Source organism: Homo sapiens, chromosome 3 (assembly GCF_000001405.40).
Source record: "Homo sapiens chromosome 3, GRCh38.p14 Primary Assembly".
In the NCBI taxonomy this organism is placed as follows: domain Eukaryota; kingdom Metazoa; phylum Chordata; class Mammalia; order Primates; family Hominidae; genus Homo; species Homo sapiens.
In genome coordinates, this window is record NC_000003.12 from 141,571,636 (window position 1) to 141,587,112 (window position 15,477).

At 35.5% G+C, this 15,477-nt stretch overlaps 1 protein-coding gene across 6 annotated transcripts in view; it reads left to right on the top strand.

The window, feature by feature from the left end:
• Positions 1-15,477, top strand: part of RASA2 (RAS p21 protein activator 2) — a 128,318-nt gene that overhangs the window by 84,609 nt on the left and 28,232 nt on the right. For 3 of the 6 annotated variants that reach the window (NM_001303245.3, XM_011513059.3, XM_024453691.2), the window contains 8 exons: positions 974-1,088; positions 1,512-1,586; positions 2,309-2,432; positions 5,365-5,471; positions 8,733-8,816; positions 9,465-9,542; positions 14,390-14,463; positions 15,011-15,120. In NM_001303245.3, the coding sequence (NP_001290174.1) occupies positions 974-1,088; positions 1,512-1,586; positions 2,309-2,432; positions 5,365-5,471; positions 8,733-8,816; positions 9,465-9,542; positions 14,390-14,463; positions 15,011-15,120 (767 nt within the window). Of the gene's footprint in view, positions 1-973; positions 1,089-1,511; positions 1,587-2,308; positions 2,433-5,364; positions 5,472-7,013; positions 7,120-8,732; positions 8,817-9,464; positions 9,543-14,389; positions 14,464-15,010; positions 15,121-15,477 lie in introns of those variants that run through there. The other 3 variants (NM_001303246.3, NM_006506.5, XM_047448652.1) reach the window with 2 other exon arrangements.

Consider the following 15,477-nt stretch of genomic DNA (forward strand, 5'->3'; position numbering starts at 1 on the left):
ATTTTTTTGTATTGATCAGCCTTACTGTATAGTAGGCTGAAAAGAAGTACTTAACAAATAACAAAAGGCAGTTAAGCTATCAAACAGTATTCACCTACCTTAAGGACAACAATTAATGAAGGATGTTTTTCTTTAACTCAGGAAATTTCATTTGTTACTAATCTGCTTCTTAGTGTAATGGTTCACGTGTCACAAGTTAAAACACCAGAGCAGAAGTGTTTTTTTCTTTATTCATTATGTATCACCCTTATATGCATATGTATGACATTCTAAAAAGCAGTCAAGTGACTTCTCATTCACGTCATAGTCTAACACTGTTGTTTTTTTACACACAGAGACATACATATACTCCACATTTTTGGTTCATAAACATGATTTGCCTTTTTAAAAAAACATATATATATATATATATATATATATATATATACACACACACACACACATATGTATTGAGTTTTTTGTTTGTTTGTTTTTAAGACAGAGTCTCGCTTTTTCACCCAGGTTGGAGTGCAGTGGCATGATCTTGGCTCACTGCAGCTTCTGCCTCCTAGGTTCAAGCGATTCTCATGCCTCAGCCTCCTGAGTAGCTGGGATTACAGGCACTCGCCACCACGCCCAGCTAATTTTTGTATTTTTGGTAGAGATGGGGTTTCACCATGTTGGCCAGGCTAGTCTCACACTCCTGACTTCAAGCGATCCACCTGCTTCGGACCCCCAAAGTGATGGGATAACAGGCATGAGCCATCACACCTGGCCATTATTTTAATATATTTTTGGTAAGTTTGAAAAACCTAATGGCAGCAAGCTTTTAAATAAATGGTAAAAATTACTAAAATTGTAGGTCACTTATGCCTTCTAGTATGTCTTAATCTATTTCAGCTAAATGCTTCTTTCTTAAATTGGTCAAGTATGTTATATTATTGGTTTCAAAACCTTTGTTTACTACATTTGGTTTCATCTATTTCTATTTCAGAGATGCAAACACAATTTTTAGAGGAAATTCCCTGGCTACCCGATGTCTGGATGAGATGATGAAAATAGTGGGAGGGCACTACCTGAAAGTAACATTAAAACCTATTCTTGATGAGGTACAGAATATATCTCCAACAATGATAGTTTGTGGCCTTATGATAGTTGTTCTTTTATCAAGTGATCTATTGATGGGAAGGATTTATTCATTCATGTGTTACTGAAAAAATAGACTGAACACTTTAGAAGCAAATTATTTACTTCTCTGTCAATGGATTTTTACTCAAAAGGTACAGTATAGTATAATCTACATTATTTCTTTGTTATGGGATTTCTATTTTAGCTAGAGTTTCAAATATATGACAAATACTTTTTGATATCATGTTTTAAGAAAATTGTATATGTTATCCCTGCATAGGACATTTTACGCTTTGCTACAGTTTAAATTTCTATAATTAACTTTTATTATCAGAAAAATAAGTTATTTTCATTTTGTCAGACTACTTAGAAAAAAATCATTAACTGAAAAATTTATTTTTCAGATATGTGACTCCTCAAAATCCTGTGAAATCGATCCTATTAAATTGAAAGAGGGAGATAATGTAGAAAATAATAAGGTAAGTCCTTGTTATATTATTTATAATTGCATTAAAATTGGTCTTAATGGTGTACCTTTCTCCCACTTACATTATGATAAAGCCATATAGAGGGAAGCAGTGCTGTTTATTCTTCACATAAGCCTTTATTATTAGCAGCACTTCCAGCTCCTAGGATTAGTTTTTAGAATGTTATTTCCTCAGTGGTTTCACTTTATTTTTGTTCTTGATTGTCTCTTTTTGGCTCTAGTAACAATAGTGAACTTAAGCTATAGCTAGTTGCAGCCCCCGTTCTAGCCATTCCTTTGGGCTCAAACTGATCAGGCTAAGTGACACAGTGACTTTATCAGTCAGTAGTTTCAGTGGCCTCTGAAAAAACAATGATTGTGTTAGGGTCACAAATTTTTATTGCAGTGGATAATAGTGTCACAATGTCCTTGTGCTTGTGTATCCGAGTTATTTTGTGATTTCCTTTTGGATCATTTTATTCCCTCTTGCTTCTTGTGAGGTTTATTCATAGATTCACCTCTTACGCCTAGCAAATCTAAATTTAATTTATTAAATTAAGTCAGTATGTAAATTGTCCTTAAACTGAATGAGTTTGGAAAAGGGTAACAGTACTTTAAAAAATGTTAGATAGTGACTGTCTAATAAACCTCATTTTCTTACATTTTTCTTTCATGAAGGCTATTGAAGATGTGTGAACATCAAAATCTTAATGTTTACCTTTTTAAATCCTGCAGGAGAATCTGCGCTACTATGTAGACAAGTTATTCAATACAATTGTAAAATCAAGTATGAGCTGCCCCACTGTAATGTGTGATATCTTTTATTCTCTAAGGCAGATGGCTACTCAGAGATTTCCTAGTAAGTGCCTTGTTTTACTAAAACATGCCATTTATTTTTCTTTGACTTTTTTATAGATATTAATTACATGTTTGGTTTGTGAGATATTTAAGGTTTTTATTTATTTATTTATTTTTATTTTATTTTATTTTATTTTTTTTGAGACGGAGTCTTGCTCTGTCACCCTGGCTGGAGTGCAGTGGCGCTATCTTGGCTCACTGCAACCTCCATCTCCCGGGTTCATGCCATTCTCCTGCCTCAGCCTCCCGAGTAGCTGGGACTACAGGCGCCCGCCACCATGCCCAGCTAATTTTTTATATTTTTAGTAGAGACGGGGTTTCACCATGTTAGCCAGGATAGTCTCGATCTCCTGAACTCGTGATCCGCCCGCCTCGGCCTCCCAAAGTTTCTGGGATTACAGGCGTGAGCCACCACGCCCAGCCTAAGGTTTTTAAGTACAACCTTCTTTAGTTTTTCAAAATGATTCTATCTTTCTCATAAGAAATCTGATTTTTCTTGAAATCTCAAAATACATATTCCATTTTATTTCAGTATAATGCAACTTTATACAAAGAGCAAATCAAAATCACCATTAAAGAAAGGCAAAAATTCAGAACTGTAACATTATATAAGTAAGCACTTATACCAGATGCTTATGAGAGTTAAAAATACCTTTGTTATTTATACCAACTATCTTTTCCAGCTGCATGCATTCAGATAGTGAGAATCTTTAGTTCCATAAAATTGACTAGATTTGACAGTTTGAGAATGCTAATAAGGTTTTGGTGGTGAGAGGTTTTTACAGAAATGGTCTTAGACATTAGAAACCTTTCTGTTGTAACATACATAGAGTTTTAAGGTACATATATCAGTAACTGGCATGTTTTAATTTTGAAAAAGTAGCTATGTCAAGGTTTTGCTTAGAAACTTTTCATAAAATTAAGTGTTACTGTCGCTGCTAATACTTAGAATTATTCACATTTTAATATATTTCTGATAAGTAAATAAACTTGCTATAGGTAGCTTTCCAGATCTGTCTATAATGGGAGGTGGTGGGTAGGAGGGTAAAATTAGGCAGGTACTTAAATTACCAGTCTTAACCAGCTGTGCAAAACTGTAAGTTTATTTCTGTAACCATCTGAAGAGATTTTGCAGTTTTATGTTCTTTTAAGCATGTGCTCACCCTGTACACACATGTGTGCAGTTAACTGCACTTCTACTAAATTGACCCATTACTAAATTAGTGGGGCTGAGTTGTCTAACATGTAGATAAATTTAGATCTAAATGTCTTTGCTAATTATAGTTGCAAATAAGTAACTAAATCTAATCTTCATAACAAAAATAAGGGGAGCCAGAGGCACACGGAAAGGTGAAATGCTCATTGAAATTATATTTTTAAATAGTTAAATCATGATAACCACATTGACTACTTAGTAACACACACAGTGTTAGTGTGTTAGCCTCCATTGTCTCCTGTTCTCATCTTCACAAAACCACATGAGGTAGGTACTACTCCCATTAGGTGAGAAACTAAGGTTTAGAGAAGCTGAGTAACTTTACCAAGGTCTGTGGCGTGGCCAACAGGCAAGCAGGGCCTCAAACCTGGGCCTAGTCTACTCCAAACTACATGCTGCCATTCACTATACTCTATACTAACTGGTGATCTTGGCCTTAAATCTGTTTTAGCAGTTTAATTCTTGTTTATATAAATGATCTTAAACACTTTATGGGGTTTTTTTGGGTTTTGTTTTTGTTTTTGTTTTTGAGACTGAGTTTCACTCTTGTTGCCCAGACTGGAGTGCAATGGCACAATCTCGGCTCACTGCAACTCCGCCTCCCAGGTTTCCAGCCTCCCGAGTTGCTGGGATTACAGACATGTGCCTCCACGCCTGGCTAATTTTGTATTTTTAGTATAGATGGGGTTTCTCCATGTTGGTCAGGCTGGTCTCAAACTCCTGACCTCAGATGATCCACCTGCCTCGGCCTCCCAAAGTGCTGGAATTACGGGCGTGGGCCACCGCGCCCGGCCAACACTTTATGTTTTTATATACATGCAGATGTATCTCTTTAGTTATGTTTTTGTTGACTTAACTATTAATATGGTTATCATATCCTCAGTAGACTATAGTAGTGACAGTTTTGTTGCCATAAGTGTTTCATATTCTCTCGTTTTTGTTGTTCTTACTACCCTAGAAGAATGGGGGAAGGAGGGCAGAGCAGACAGCAGGTAGAAAGCAGATATTACTAAAGAATGACAAATTAAACGACTTGTTAATGGTTACCTACTGAATGACTTAGAAGAGTTAAAACTCGAACCAAACCTAAAGATTCTTTCCCTCACCATCTGCTTCACCACCATCTGTCTGATTGTTGGGTAAATTGTTGACTCCAGTCTGAAACGAAAGTTGTAGGTGAATGATCAAAGCCACCAGTAGTCTTCAGTTCATCTGCATTTTTATTTATGGACTGTTGATAGCTTTTTAAAGTAAACATTTCTGCCTAATTGTTTTTGTTGCATAACTTTTGATATTATCAAGATTTTTGGGGGGGATATTGAAACAAGAACCTAAAACTGAAAGTAGCCTTGTATCATACTCTTAAGGGATTCAGTGTTACCACTAGGTAGTGCTAGATACTACTTTTATTTCTGTTGTAATTTTAGCAGTCTCTTCTTGCAGGTGAGGAAAGAGGTATTTTTCAAATTAAAATATTTCTGAAAACCTAGCAGCTTTGTCTTTTTTCATATTATTTCTTATTTCTTTTGGATTTTTTTAATCATAGGGGTTTTCTTTTAATTGAGTCATAAATATCACTATCATTTCATCAACTCAGTTCTTACTAGACAAATTATGTTGCTCTCCTAGTTTACATGTCTTTTCTATATTTTTTAATTTATCATCTTTGTTTTTTAATTGTTTTTGTGCATGACATTTCACCATTTTTTTCCTGCAGATGACCCTCATGTTCAGTATTCTGCAGTGAGCAGCTTTGTATTTCTTCGTTTCTTTGCTGTAGCCGTAGTATCACCTCATACTTTTCATTTGCGACCTCATCATCCAGTAAGTGTTCATTCTTCTGAAAGCTTTATTCCATTTTTTTAATTTTTATTAAAATGAAGAAAAGATAAAATAAACCAATTTCACTAGGCTGTATTTTCTTATAACTGATACTTAAATTTACTCAGCATTTTTCTTGGCCATTTCAGTCTTTCAAGTGAGGCTAATAATCCTATTTTTTGTTGTTGTTAAAAGATGTTCTACAAGAGTAATAAAATGTTGTTAATTATTGAAGCTTGGTGATGAGTACAAAGGGGATTTATTATATTTTTTCATCTGCTACTGTGTGTGTTTGTAAATTTCCATAAGTTTTTTTTCATTAGTTACAGGTTTCATTTTGATAGGTTTTTTATTTAAACAAAATCTACTTTCCTGATTTATTAAAATAGGTTAATTTTGCAGATATTTTTAAATTGCACAGAAATTTGAAGAGGCTCTTCTCTAAGAAAGAAGGCTACAAGAGAAATTCCATTTAATTTAGAAACAGCATCTAAGATAGATTTCAGTAGCAATGAAACTGAAAGCATATAATTAGAAAATATTAAATGGCAGGTGAACTGGATAAGCATTAACAGTAAAAACAGAAAAAGAAACCAAGAATGCAGTATAGTGAAAGGCGTAGGAACTTTTATTGGAATATAACTTGTTAAATATATCAGTATTTTCACTTTTTATTTACCTGAGGTAATACTGTAAACATGAGATTTAAAAATTTCTTAAGCATATAAACTTTGTTCTGGAGTCCTGTTTAATTACCAAAAATCTAAATCTCCACTGCATAGATTTACATGTTTATTTCTTAATTTTTAAAATTCTTTATTTTTGCTATACTTCTGATTCCTTCTTATATGGTGTAATTTGGTTGATTCTTTAAGCTTTTATGTTCCAAATACTTTATAATCTTACCTAATTGCTCCTAGTTGCTGATTTGTATAACAAATAATAACAATAGTCCACATTTATTTAGTGCTTTGTACTAGGCCTTGTTCTAACTACTTTATGTGTTAACTTATTTGGTCCTCCTAGCAACCTGGTAAGGTAAATTCTGTTATCATCCACATGTGCAGATAAGGAAATCACAATACAGTAACTTTTCCAAGCTCACACAACTGACAAATTATGATTTGATCATACTCGATTTGAATTGGATTTAACTGGGATTCAAATTCAGTCAGTCTTTATCATCTGTGAGCTTAATCCTATCCCTTCCAACCTCTTAGACAGATGTTCAAGTACCTATAATGTATCATTCCATGCTCAGTACTGGAGATGCAGTGATGAGTAAGATACTCTTTGCCCTTAGGAAACTCACAGCCAAGAGGAGTTGCTCAATAGTGTAGGGAAAACAGATGAGTTTTAGAGTTAAACCAGGTTCTGAATACCCATTTCTTCTCTCAACGGCTACATGACATTGACACTCACTTAACTTTGTGAGAACTGAATAGAACCATGTTGCAGTGGCAGCACCACGCCCTTTCTTGCCAAAGGATAAATGGTCTGTGAGTAGCCCCAGCAGAGAGTGGGCCAGTGTCCTTTTGTTCACAGGGCTGTCCATTCTGTGGCTTTGTTACTAAAGCTGCACAGAACTCTGAGGCAGTGAAAGCGTGGTAGCAACATTCTGGACATAAACAGAACACCTACTTCTGAACTTGTGAGTCTGCCTTGTATTCATACTTGAATTTGCATATTCCTGTAACAGATGTTGGTGGATACTTAGGTTGGTTCTATGACTTTGCTATTGTAAATAGTGCTGCAGGAAACATGAGTGCAGGTGCCAGGACATCTTTAAGAATATTATTTTCTTCAAAGACAGAGAATTGTAGGGACCTTTTATAGATGTAATGAAATCCCAGATGTTACAGCTAAAATGTTTTCTGAATAGACTTAATTTAGGTGTGTATCTACTTTATAAGTATATTATAAGGATCATATTTCGGATATTCCTTCCTTTCCAGATTACCTTATATTCTGGTCATCTCTTCCCCTTCACATTCATTGCCTGTTTTCAATGTGGGGGTTGGGGGGATACTAAAATATCAAGGAATGGGAGCCAAAAATCAAACTAAAGCTTTTCTGTATCTAAATTTTTCTGGATATGTTTTTAGATGCAAGATACTGTTTACTTGAATCCGTAAATAAAAATGGTCTGTGTTTTGATAGAAACTTACACAAATGTATGGATTGGTGAAAATTCAGCAGGGTATTCATTTAATACCTATTCATTTTGTCATATGTAAATTATATCTCAATTTTTAAAAAAATGAAGGAGCAAAGATTCCTGAGGGAACACCGTTTAGTCAATTTTATATGCTACTATATATTACTTCTTTCAGATAGACAGGCCTGAAAAACCTCTTGGATAATAGACCCAAATAATCACCCTCTGGTAAGATCCAAAAATAACTAGGTGACTTCACATTTCCTAAGCTGAATTTAGGTCTTTGCTTCCATGGTGAAAAGAGTTAATTGCAAAAGCCATTTAAAGTATTGAATATGTTTAGAGGTGAGCTGAGCACAGAAAATTTGGAACACCTAAAACTGCCATTTTAAGTTATAAGGTAGTAAAGTAGAAGTGACTATTCCAGAAGTGACTATAATTTGCCAGGTAATCCAAGGTGCCATACTGTACAAAACAACTTATATATAATATTGATAAAATTATGGCTTTTGGCTGGTGCCAAAAGGCTCATGCCTGTAATCCCAGCACTTCGGGAGGCCAAGGCAGGCAGATCACCTGAGGTCAAGAGTTCGAGACCAGCCTGGCCAACATGGCAAAACTCTGTTTCTACTGAAAATACAAAAATTAGCCAGGTGTGGTGTCAGGCACCTGCAATCCCAGCTACTTAGGAGACTGAGACAGGAGAATCGCTTGAACCCAGAAGGTGGAGGTTACAGTGAGCTGCGGTTATGCCACTACACTCCAGCCTGGGCAACAGAGTGAGACTCCATCTCAGGAAAAAAAAAAGAAAAAAAAAAAAAAAAATATATATATATATATATATATATATATATATGACTTTTAAAAGCACCACATCTTTAATAATTACTTTGGGAAGAATTGTTAATTATATATGGTTTCTTTAGTCTCTTAATTCCTTAGGCTGGTGAGTTGTACCCAGCCTTAGCTAGATTTTAACTGTGTGTGTTTTGAACGTTTTTGAGTCATTGTTTTACAGCAATGTAGTCCATTTACTCTATTCTACTTTTTTATACAAACTATTTTCTTGAAAACTTAGTAGTTTTGGTCTTTTTTACATTCTTTAGGATGCACAGACAATTAGAACATTAACTCTCATCTCAAAAACTATACAAACTTTGGGAAGCTGGGGGAGTCTGTCCAAAAGCAAGGTAAGTCCTTACATCTTTTATTTTGTTTTTACACTTCTAAATGTTGTTACATCCTATGATCCCTTATCCTTGACTTACCTTCTTCCAAATTAAAAACAAAACATACACACACACACACACACACACAGACACAATAGCTGTCTTTTAAGTAGATACTCTCTTAGTCACCTGTTAAAGAGGACAGTTTCAGAAGCTGGGCATAGTGACTTGTGTCTTTAATCCCAGGAAGCCGAAGCGGGAAGATGACTTGAGGCCAGGAGTTCAAGGCTGTGGTGCACAATGATGGCACCTATGAATAGCCACTGCACTCCAGTCCCAGCAACATAGCAAGACCCTGTCTCTAGAAGTTTTAAAAAGAAAAAAAGTTTAATGAGAACATTAAAAAAAAAAAAAAGCAGACAGTTTCATGAAAACTGCTAAACAAGACAAGAGAGCCTAGTAAGGAGGTGCAGGACAGTCTGTCTGTCTGCCTGCTTCGGCCATAATCACATGACAGCTTTGAAAGAAGTCTTCCACTCCAAGCCCTGAACTCTCTGAAAATATATAATTGAGTCCTTTTAGGCCTTAATCCTCAGCTTAAAAATACAGTCCATTCTATTCTTAATTCTCTATTTAACACATATAAACCCTGTGTTTGTTTTTTCTTAGTCAAGTTTCAAAGAGACATTCATGTGTGAATTTTTCAAAATGTTTCAAGAAGAAGGATATATTATAGCAGTTAAAAAGGTATGATGGTTTTATTCTGGAATTGTTAATATTTATTTCATATAACATGGGGAAATAACATTTTATATATATTATTATTATCAATCCCCAGTTTAAATAATAATGTTTAAACTGTTCATCAAAAAGGCTTCCTTTTTCTTTTTTCTTCTTCCACAAAGCTGTGCTTTTCAGCTTTGAAAATACCTAAATAAGTTTAACAACAACTACTTTTGCCAGTGCATTAGAAACACAAATTACAGATGTCTAGGGTTAGGATTTCTCAAAGTGACACTATTGGCATTTGGGGCCAGATAATTCTTGATTCTGAGGGGCTGGCTTGTGCGTTTCAGGATATTTAGCAGCATGCCTGGCCTCTACCCCTTAGACGCAAGAAGTATGCCCCTGTTTTGACAGCCAAACATGCCTCCAGGTATTGCCAAATGTTCCTTGAGGGACAGAATTGCCTCTGGTTGAGAACCTCTGGTCTCTGGGGGTAAAGGCTTTGTATGGTGCCTGATGTAGAGTGGGCACTTAATTGCCATAGTAAAAAATATATACATTATTGAACATTTAATGAACAATATAAATTTATGGTAGTAACCTGAGGAAAATTACTATAAATGTACAAAAACCTGTAGTATATAATATCCTAACACAAGGCCTGCAGCATACAAAAATCACTGTACTTAGAAGTTCAGAATGTTTTGAAAGGATCTTTAATTTCTTGAGTCTTTAGTCCTGAATCATCTAAACAAAATATAGCATTATCGTAAAATGCTGAAAATTTATAAAGAAAAGTTACCTTTGAAGTACTCTATCCCATATAGTCTAGAAGTTAAGAATTAAAAAATAAGGAAAGAAATGAATTACATCTAAACTGGGCCTGAAGAAAGTACTGTATTTTATGTATCACAGTCTTAACTTAATGAATCCAAATTAGCAAAGCCAAATGTTAAAGACTTCATTCAATTTCTGTAGCACAACTAGCAGTTGGTTGCCAGAGTATTTATTTTGTTGAGATACATGTTTGAGCCTTTTTTTATACTTAGGATTCTTACAGAGACTTAGTAAGTGAAAAATGATGATTTAAAAAATTCAAGTCCGTTGGAATATTTTTCATCTGGAATAGTGCCTGTTTAACCAAAATTTTTTTAGGCAACCATTGAAGGCTTTTGAGGAGAAAGTCTTTCAAAAGAATAGGCAAAGAAAAAGCTGCCCTTTTATTTTTCAGACATTGTTGAAACATTTGTGACACTGTAGGCAGACTTTTATTGGCAGGATTATGATGTACTGTCTTTTGTTTGAGGGTTGTTTTTCCATGTTTTGTGACTGAGGCTACGGTAGCATCTGATCTTTTTTCCCCTGATATAATCAGAATGTTTAGAGTTGATAATGTCAGTGGAGAAAGGATTTAAGGGTTCCAGGAGTTTAGTCTGTTCCTGATCTACTCTGGGTCACCCACTCACATTCTAATGGACTATCGCCATAGTGTGCCTCTGTCTCAGATTTGGTTCTAGATCCCTAAGCTGACATAGGGTATTTTGCCCTAATATCCTAGTTTCCTTTATTATTTAGTAGTTACAACAAGATATGTGCAGTGCTATAAAGTGTAAAAGCTTGTGAAGCTCAATTTCTCATTTTATATTGGCACTCTGCCTAGTGACATTTACTATTGATGCAGAAGAAAATAAGAGTATAACTGAATCATATGCTATTCCCTGCAGAGTTTAGAAAGGATAACCTGGATAGTTCTATAAACAAGGTGACCATATAATTTGATGTCTAAACCAGAACACTTTTAAGAGTGAAAAATACTATTAGTGATTATTCTGGGATGATAGGAATGGTCCTGATAGGGATGGTCCTGAGCAAACTGGGACCTATAGTCACCCTGCCTATAGTCCATCTTAATTACTGGGTTTTCTTTCACTTATATCTCTGTATTTACCCCATAGTTCCTTAAGAATTATAATAAATAAATTATTGGCTGGGTGCAGTGGCTCATGCCTGTAATCCCAGCACTTTGGGAGGCCGAAGCGGGCAGATCACCTGAGGTCAGGAGTTGGAGACCAGCCTGGCTAACATGGTGAAACCCTGTTTCTACTAAAAATACAAAAAATTAGCCAGGCCTGGTGGCACGTGCCTGTAATCCCAGCTACTAGGGAGGCTGAGGCGAGAGAATCGCTTGAACCCAGGAGGTAGAGGTTGCAGTGAGCCGAGATCATGCCATTGCACTCCAGCTTGGGCAACAAGAGCAAAACTCTGTCTCAAAAAAATAAAATAAATTATTATAAATAATAAATATTTGCTAACAAATCAGTGACTTCAGGTATATATTAAGAAATAAAATATTCACATAACTCAGACTCCATTAGTGCATGGTCCATCTGGGAGAGTCGATGCTGTGATAGGGCGCTTCTTCAGTTCCCTTGGATACTTGTACCCACATTACCCACATATAATGCAAAAGGAACTCTGTTCTTGTTCTTTCACTTACCAATATTTTCTCCCAGCAAACAGAAGTAAACATTCCATTTCAAAACTCCTTAAGTCTGAGCTCTGGCAGGCAATTGTCAGCCAGTCTTAGGAGAAAATGGCTGTGCCTACAAATTCCACTTTAGAATAGGCACTGGAGCCTCAATACTATCCTTATTGGAATGTGGTTTGTTTTTAAGTCCTAAGCAGAATAATGTAGAGAAGTATAAAGGAAAAAGCAAAGAAATGCAGACCCTCTCTGAGTTTCTGAGTTTGTAATATCCATCTAATGAACTAAATAAATGGATAGCTCATTTAGGGGGCAAAATAGGATTCTTCTTTAAGAACAAGAATTGTTCCTCAAAATCAAAGTAATGGTAGATTAAAAAAAAAGAAGAAGAAAAGAAAAGAATTGTTCCAGCCAGGCACGGTGGCTTACGCCTGTAATCCCAGCACTTTGGGAGGCCGAGGCAGGTGGATCACAAGATCAGGAGTTCAAGACCAGCCTGGCCAATATGGTTAAACCCTGTCTCTACTAAAAATACAAAAATTAGCCGGGCATGGTGGCAGGCGCCGGTAGTCCCAGTTACTCGGGAGGCTGAGGCAGGAGAATCACTTGAACCTGAGAGGTGGAGGTTGAAGTGAGCCGAGATCGCACCATTGCGCTCCAGCCTGGGCGACAGAACAAAACTCCATCCCAAAAAAAAAAAAAAAAAAAAAAAAAGAAAGGAAAAAGGAATCGTTCCTTGAACTGCTGATTTCCCTTTCCCATGAAGAGACAGCCAAATACTAAAAAGCCCTTGACCAGTCAGGGTAGCATATTTATGAAGTTAAATGTTTTTCACTAGCTGACTTGGTAAAGATGGATACTATAAATTTTCTTGATGGGAAGTTTATAAATGGCGATTAGATTTCGATTATCCCAGATAATCTGTTTACTCTTCAGTCATGACTGTGAAATACCATCTCTCAGAGCTAAAGTCAGTTATATATGATAGAAGTTGGCAAACTCTTTTCTGTAAAGGGACAGTGAGAAAATATTTTAGGCTTTGCTGATCACATAAGGTCTCTGCCACTTAGTCTTTGTTTTCACAACCCTTTCACAATCCTAAATGTAACCCTAATTGTTACATTTAGAAATGTAATAGTTACAGGTTGAGTATCCTTTATCAAAATGGTTGAGACCAGAAGTGTTTTGGATTTTGGATTTTTTTCAAATTTTGAAATACTTTTATTCATTCTCTCTCTCTCCATATATATTTTTTTTAACTGATTGAGCATCCCTAATCTGAAAATCCAAAATTCAAAATCCAGAATGCACCAGCAAGCATTTCCTTTGAATATCCTGTTGGCACTCAAAAAGTTTTGGGTTTTGGAACATTTGGGATTTTTCAGATTAAGGATGTTCAACCTGTATTCTTATGGGCCTTACAAAAACAGGCTACAGGTCAAACGTGGCCCTCTGAGCCATACTTTGGTGATTCTTAACCTATAATAAAGGTTCACAATCTTATATGTAAAATCATTGGGACCAAAAGTATTTCAGAATTCAGTTTTTCAGAGTTTCAAAAGGTAATCAGTATATACTATATTTAACACCCCCCAGTGGAGCCTAGGGTAGCACCCCACAATCAAATACATTAATTCTTATAGCACAGTATATGAATACTTACAGTAAGTAATATAAGTACAGAGTGTAAATAGCCTTACACCAGTTCAGGTTAAGTTATACCCCTAAATGAGTACTTCAAATCAAAGACAAGATTTAAAAACTTTGTATTCAGAATGTTATGTATTTCAGAATTGCAGTTAAGGAATTATGGATTGAATTATTCCTACAAGGAAATATGTTCTGGGTTTTAAGTAACTTAAGAACAAAGTTTTAGGCTGGGCACGGTGGCTCACACCTGTAATTCCAGCACTTTGGTAGGCTGAGTCAGGCAGATCACTTGAGGCCAGGAGTTCAAGACCAGCCTGGCCAACATAGCGTAACCCTGTCTCTACTAAAAATAAAAAAAAATAGCTGCCCATGGTGGCACATGCCTGTAATCCCAGCTACTTGGGAAGCTGAGGCATGAGAATCACTTGAACCCAGGAAGGAGAGGTTGCAGTGAGCTGAGATTGCACCACTGCACTCCAGCCTGGGCAACAGAGTGAGCCTCTGTCTCCACATAAATAAATAAATAAATAAATAATACTTTTATAATACTTGTCATTTGTAAATTAGGGATTTCCTCTCTAATTAAATATGTGTTTTGTTTTATAAATTACTATTATGTGTATTCATTAATAATGAAGAACTTCCCATTATAATTAATGACATGTAAGATAAACTGAATTTTTTATAATGTACCTTATCACACAGTGTAATATTTGCCCATTTCCCCATTTAGTTCTTGGATGAAATTTCATCTACTGAAACTAAAGAGTCCAGTGGTACGAGTGAGCCTGTGCACCTGAAAGAAGGGTAATTTAATCAAATTAGACGTGAAAGTCATATATCAGTATAGATATTAAGTAAGTACAAAGAGCGTGGGTCTAAGAGTGAGGAGATCTGGCTTTGTGTGCTGTGTTAGAACTGCCAAAATTAGCAGTCAGGTAAGTCGCCTTTACTGTCCTACAAACTTTATGGCAAAAAAGCATGATTTCCTGTGCATACAGTCCTAGAGTTGTTTTGCAATTATAGTGAGATGATGGGTATTTAGAGTACTTTTAAAAAGTAACAGCACTATTAGTCTTAATGTAAAGTGTTTATTATAAGTTAAGGGGGGGAACCACTCATTTGACCCTTTTTTGTTCTGTATAGTACAATTAAAAATATTAAATTAATTAAAGACCTTATTCCTTTAGTGTGGCCAAAATAAATGCAACAGTCATGGATAGCAAAAACATTTTTATATATTTAATATAATCTTACACTACTATTCATGTCATTTAAAGTTAAAGGATACTTCTTTGTTTTGGATTAACTTTTAATTTTTATAGCTAAATGTTTACATCTGTTATGTTGGCAGTGAGATGTATAAAAGAGCTCAAGGAAGAACTCGGATTGGAAAAAAGAATTTTAAGAAACGATGGTTCTGCTTAACAAGCAGAGAGCTCACCTACCACAAACAGCCAGGTAGTTGTGTTTATGCTTTATTGTGGGGTTTTTCCTGGTTCTCAGTGAAGGTTTCTTTGCCGCTTATTGTGACTCTAGTGAATCCTTTCAGTAATATTACTGTAGTTTATGGTTTCTCACACTGATACATACGTACTAAGAATGAAAAAATATTTGACAGTAACCCCATGTATATTATGTTTTTCTCACATTAAATTTCTTGAGTTTCTGAAAATGGTGTTCCTTCAGTGTGCTCTGTTTTCTAAAAATCCATAGTAATCCATACTGTTATTTATCAAAGAACAACAGCTAAACCTCTTAGAACATGGGAGTTTCTTTAACTCTCAGAGGCAAAATTAGCAAGATTCCATATCGAATAAA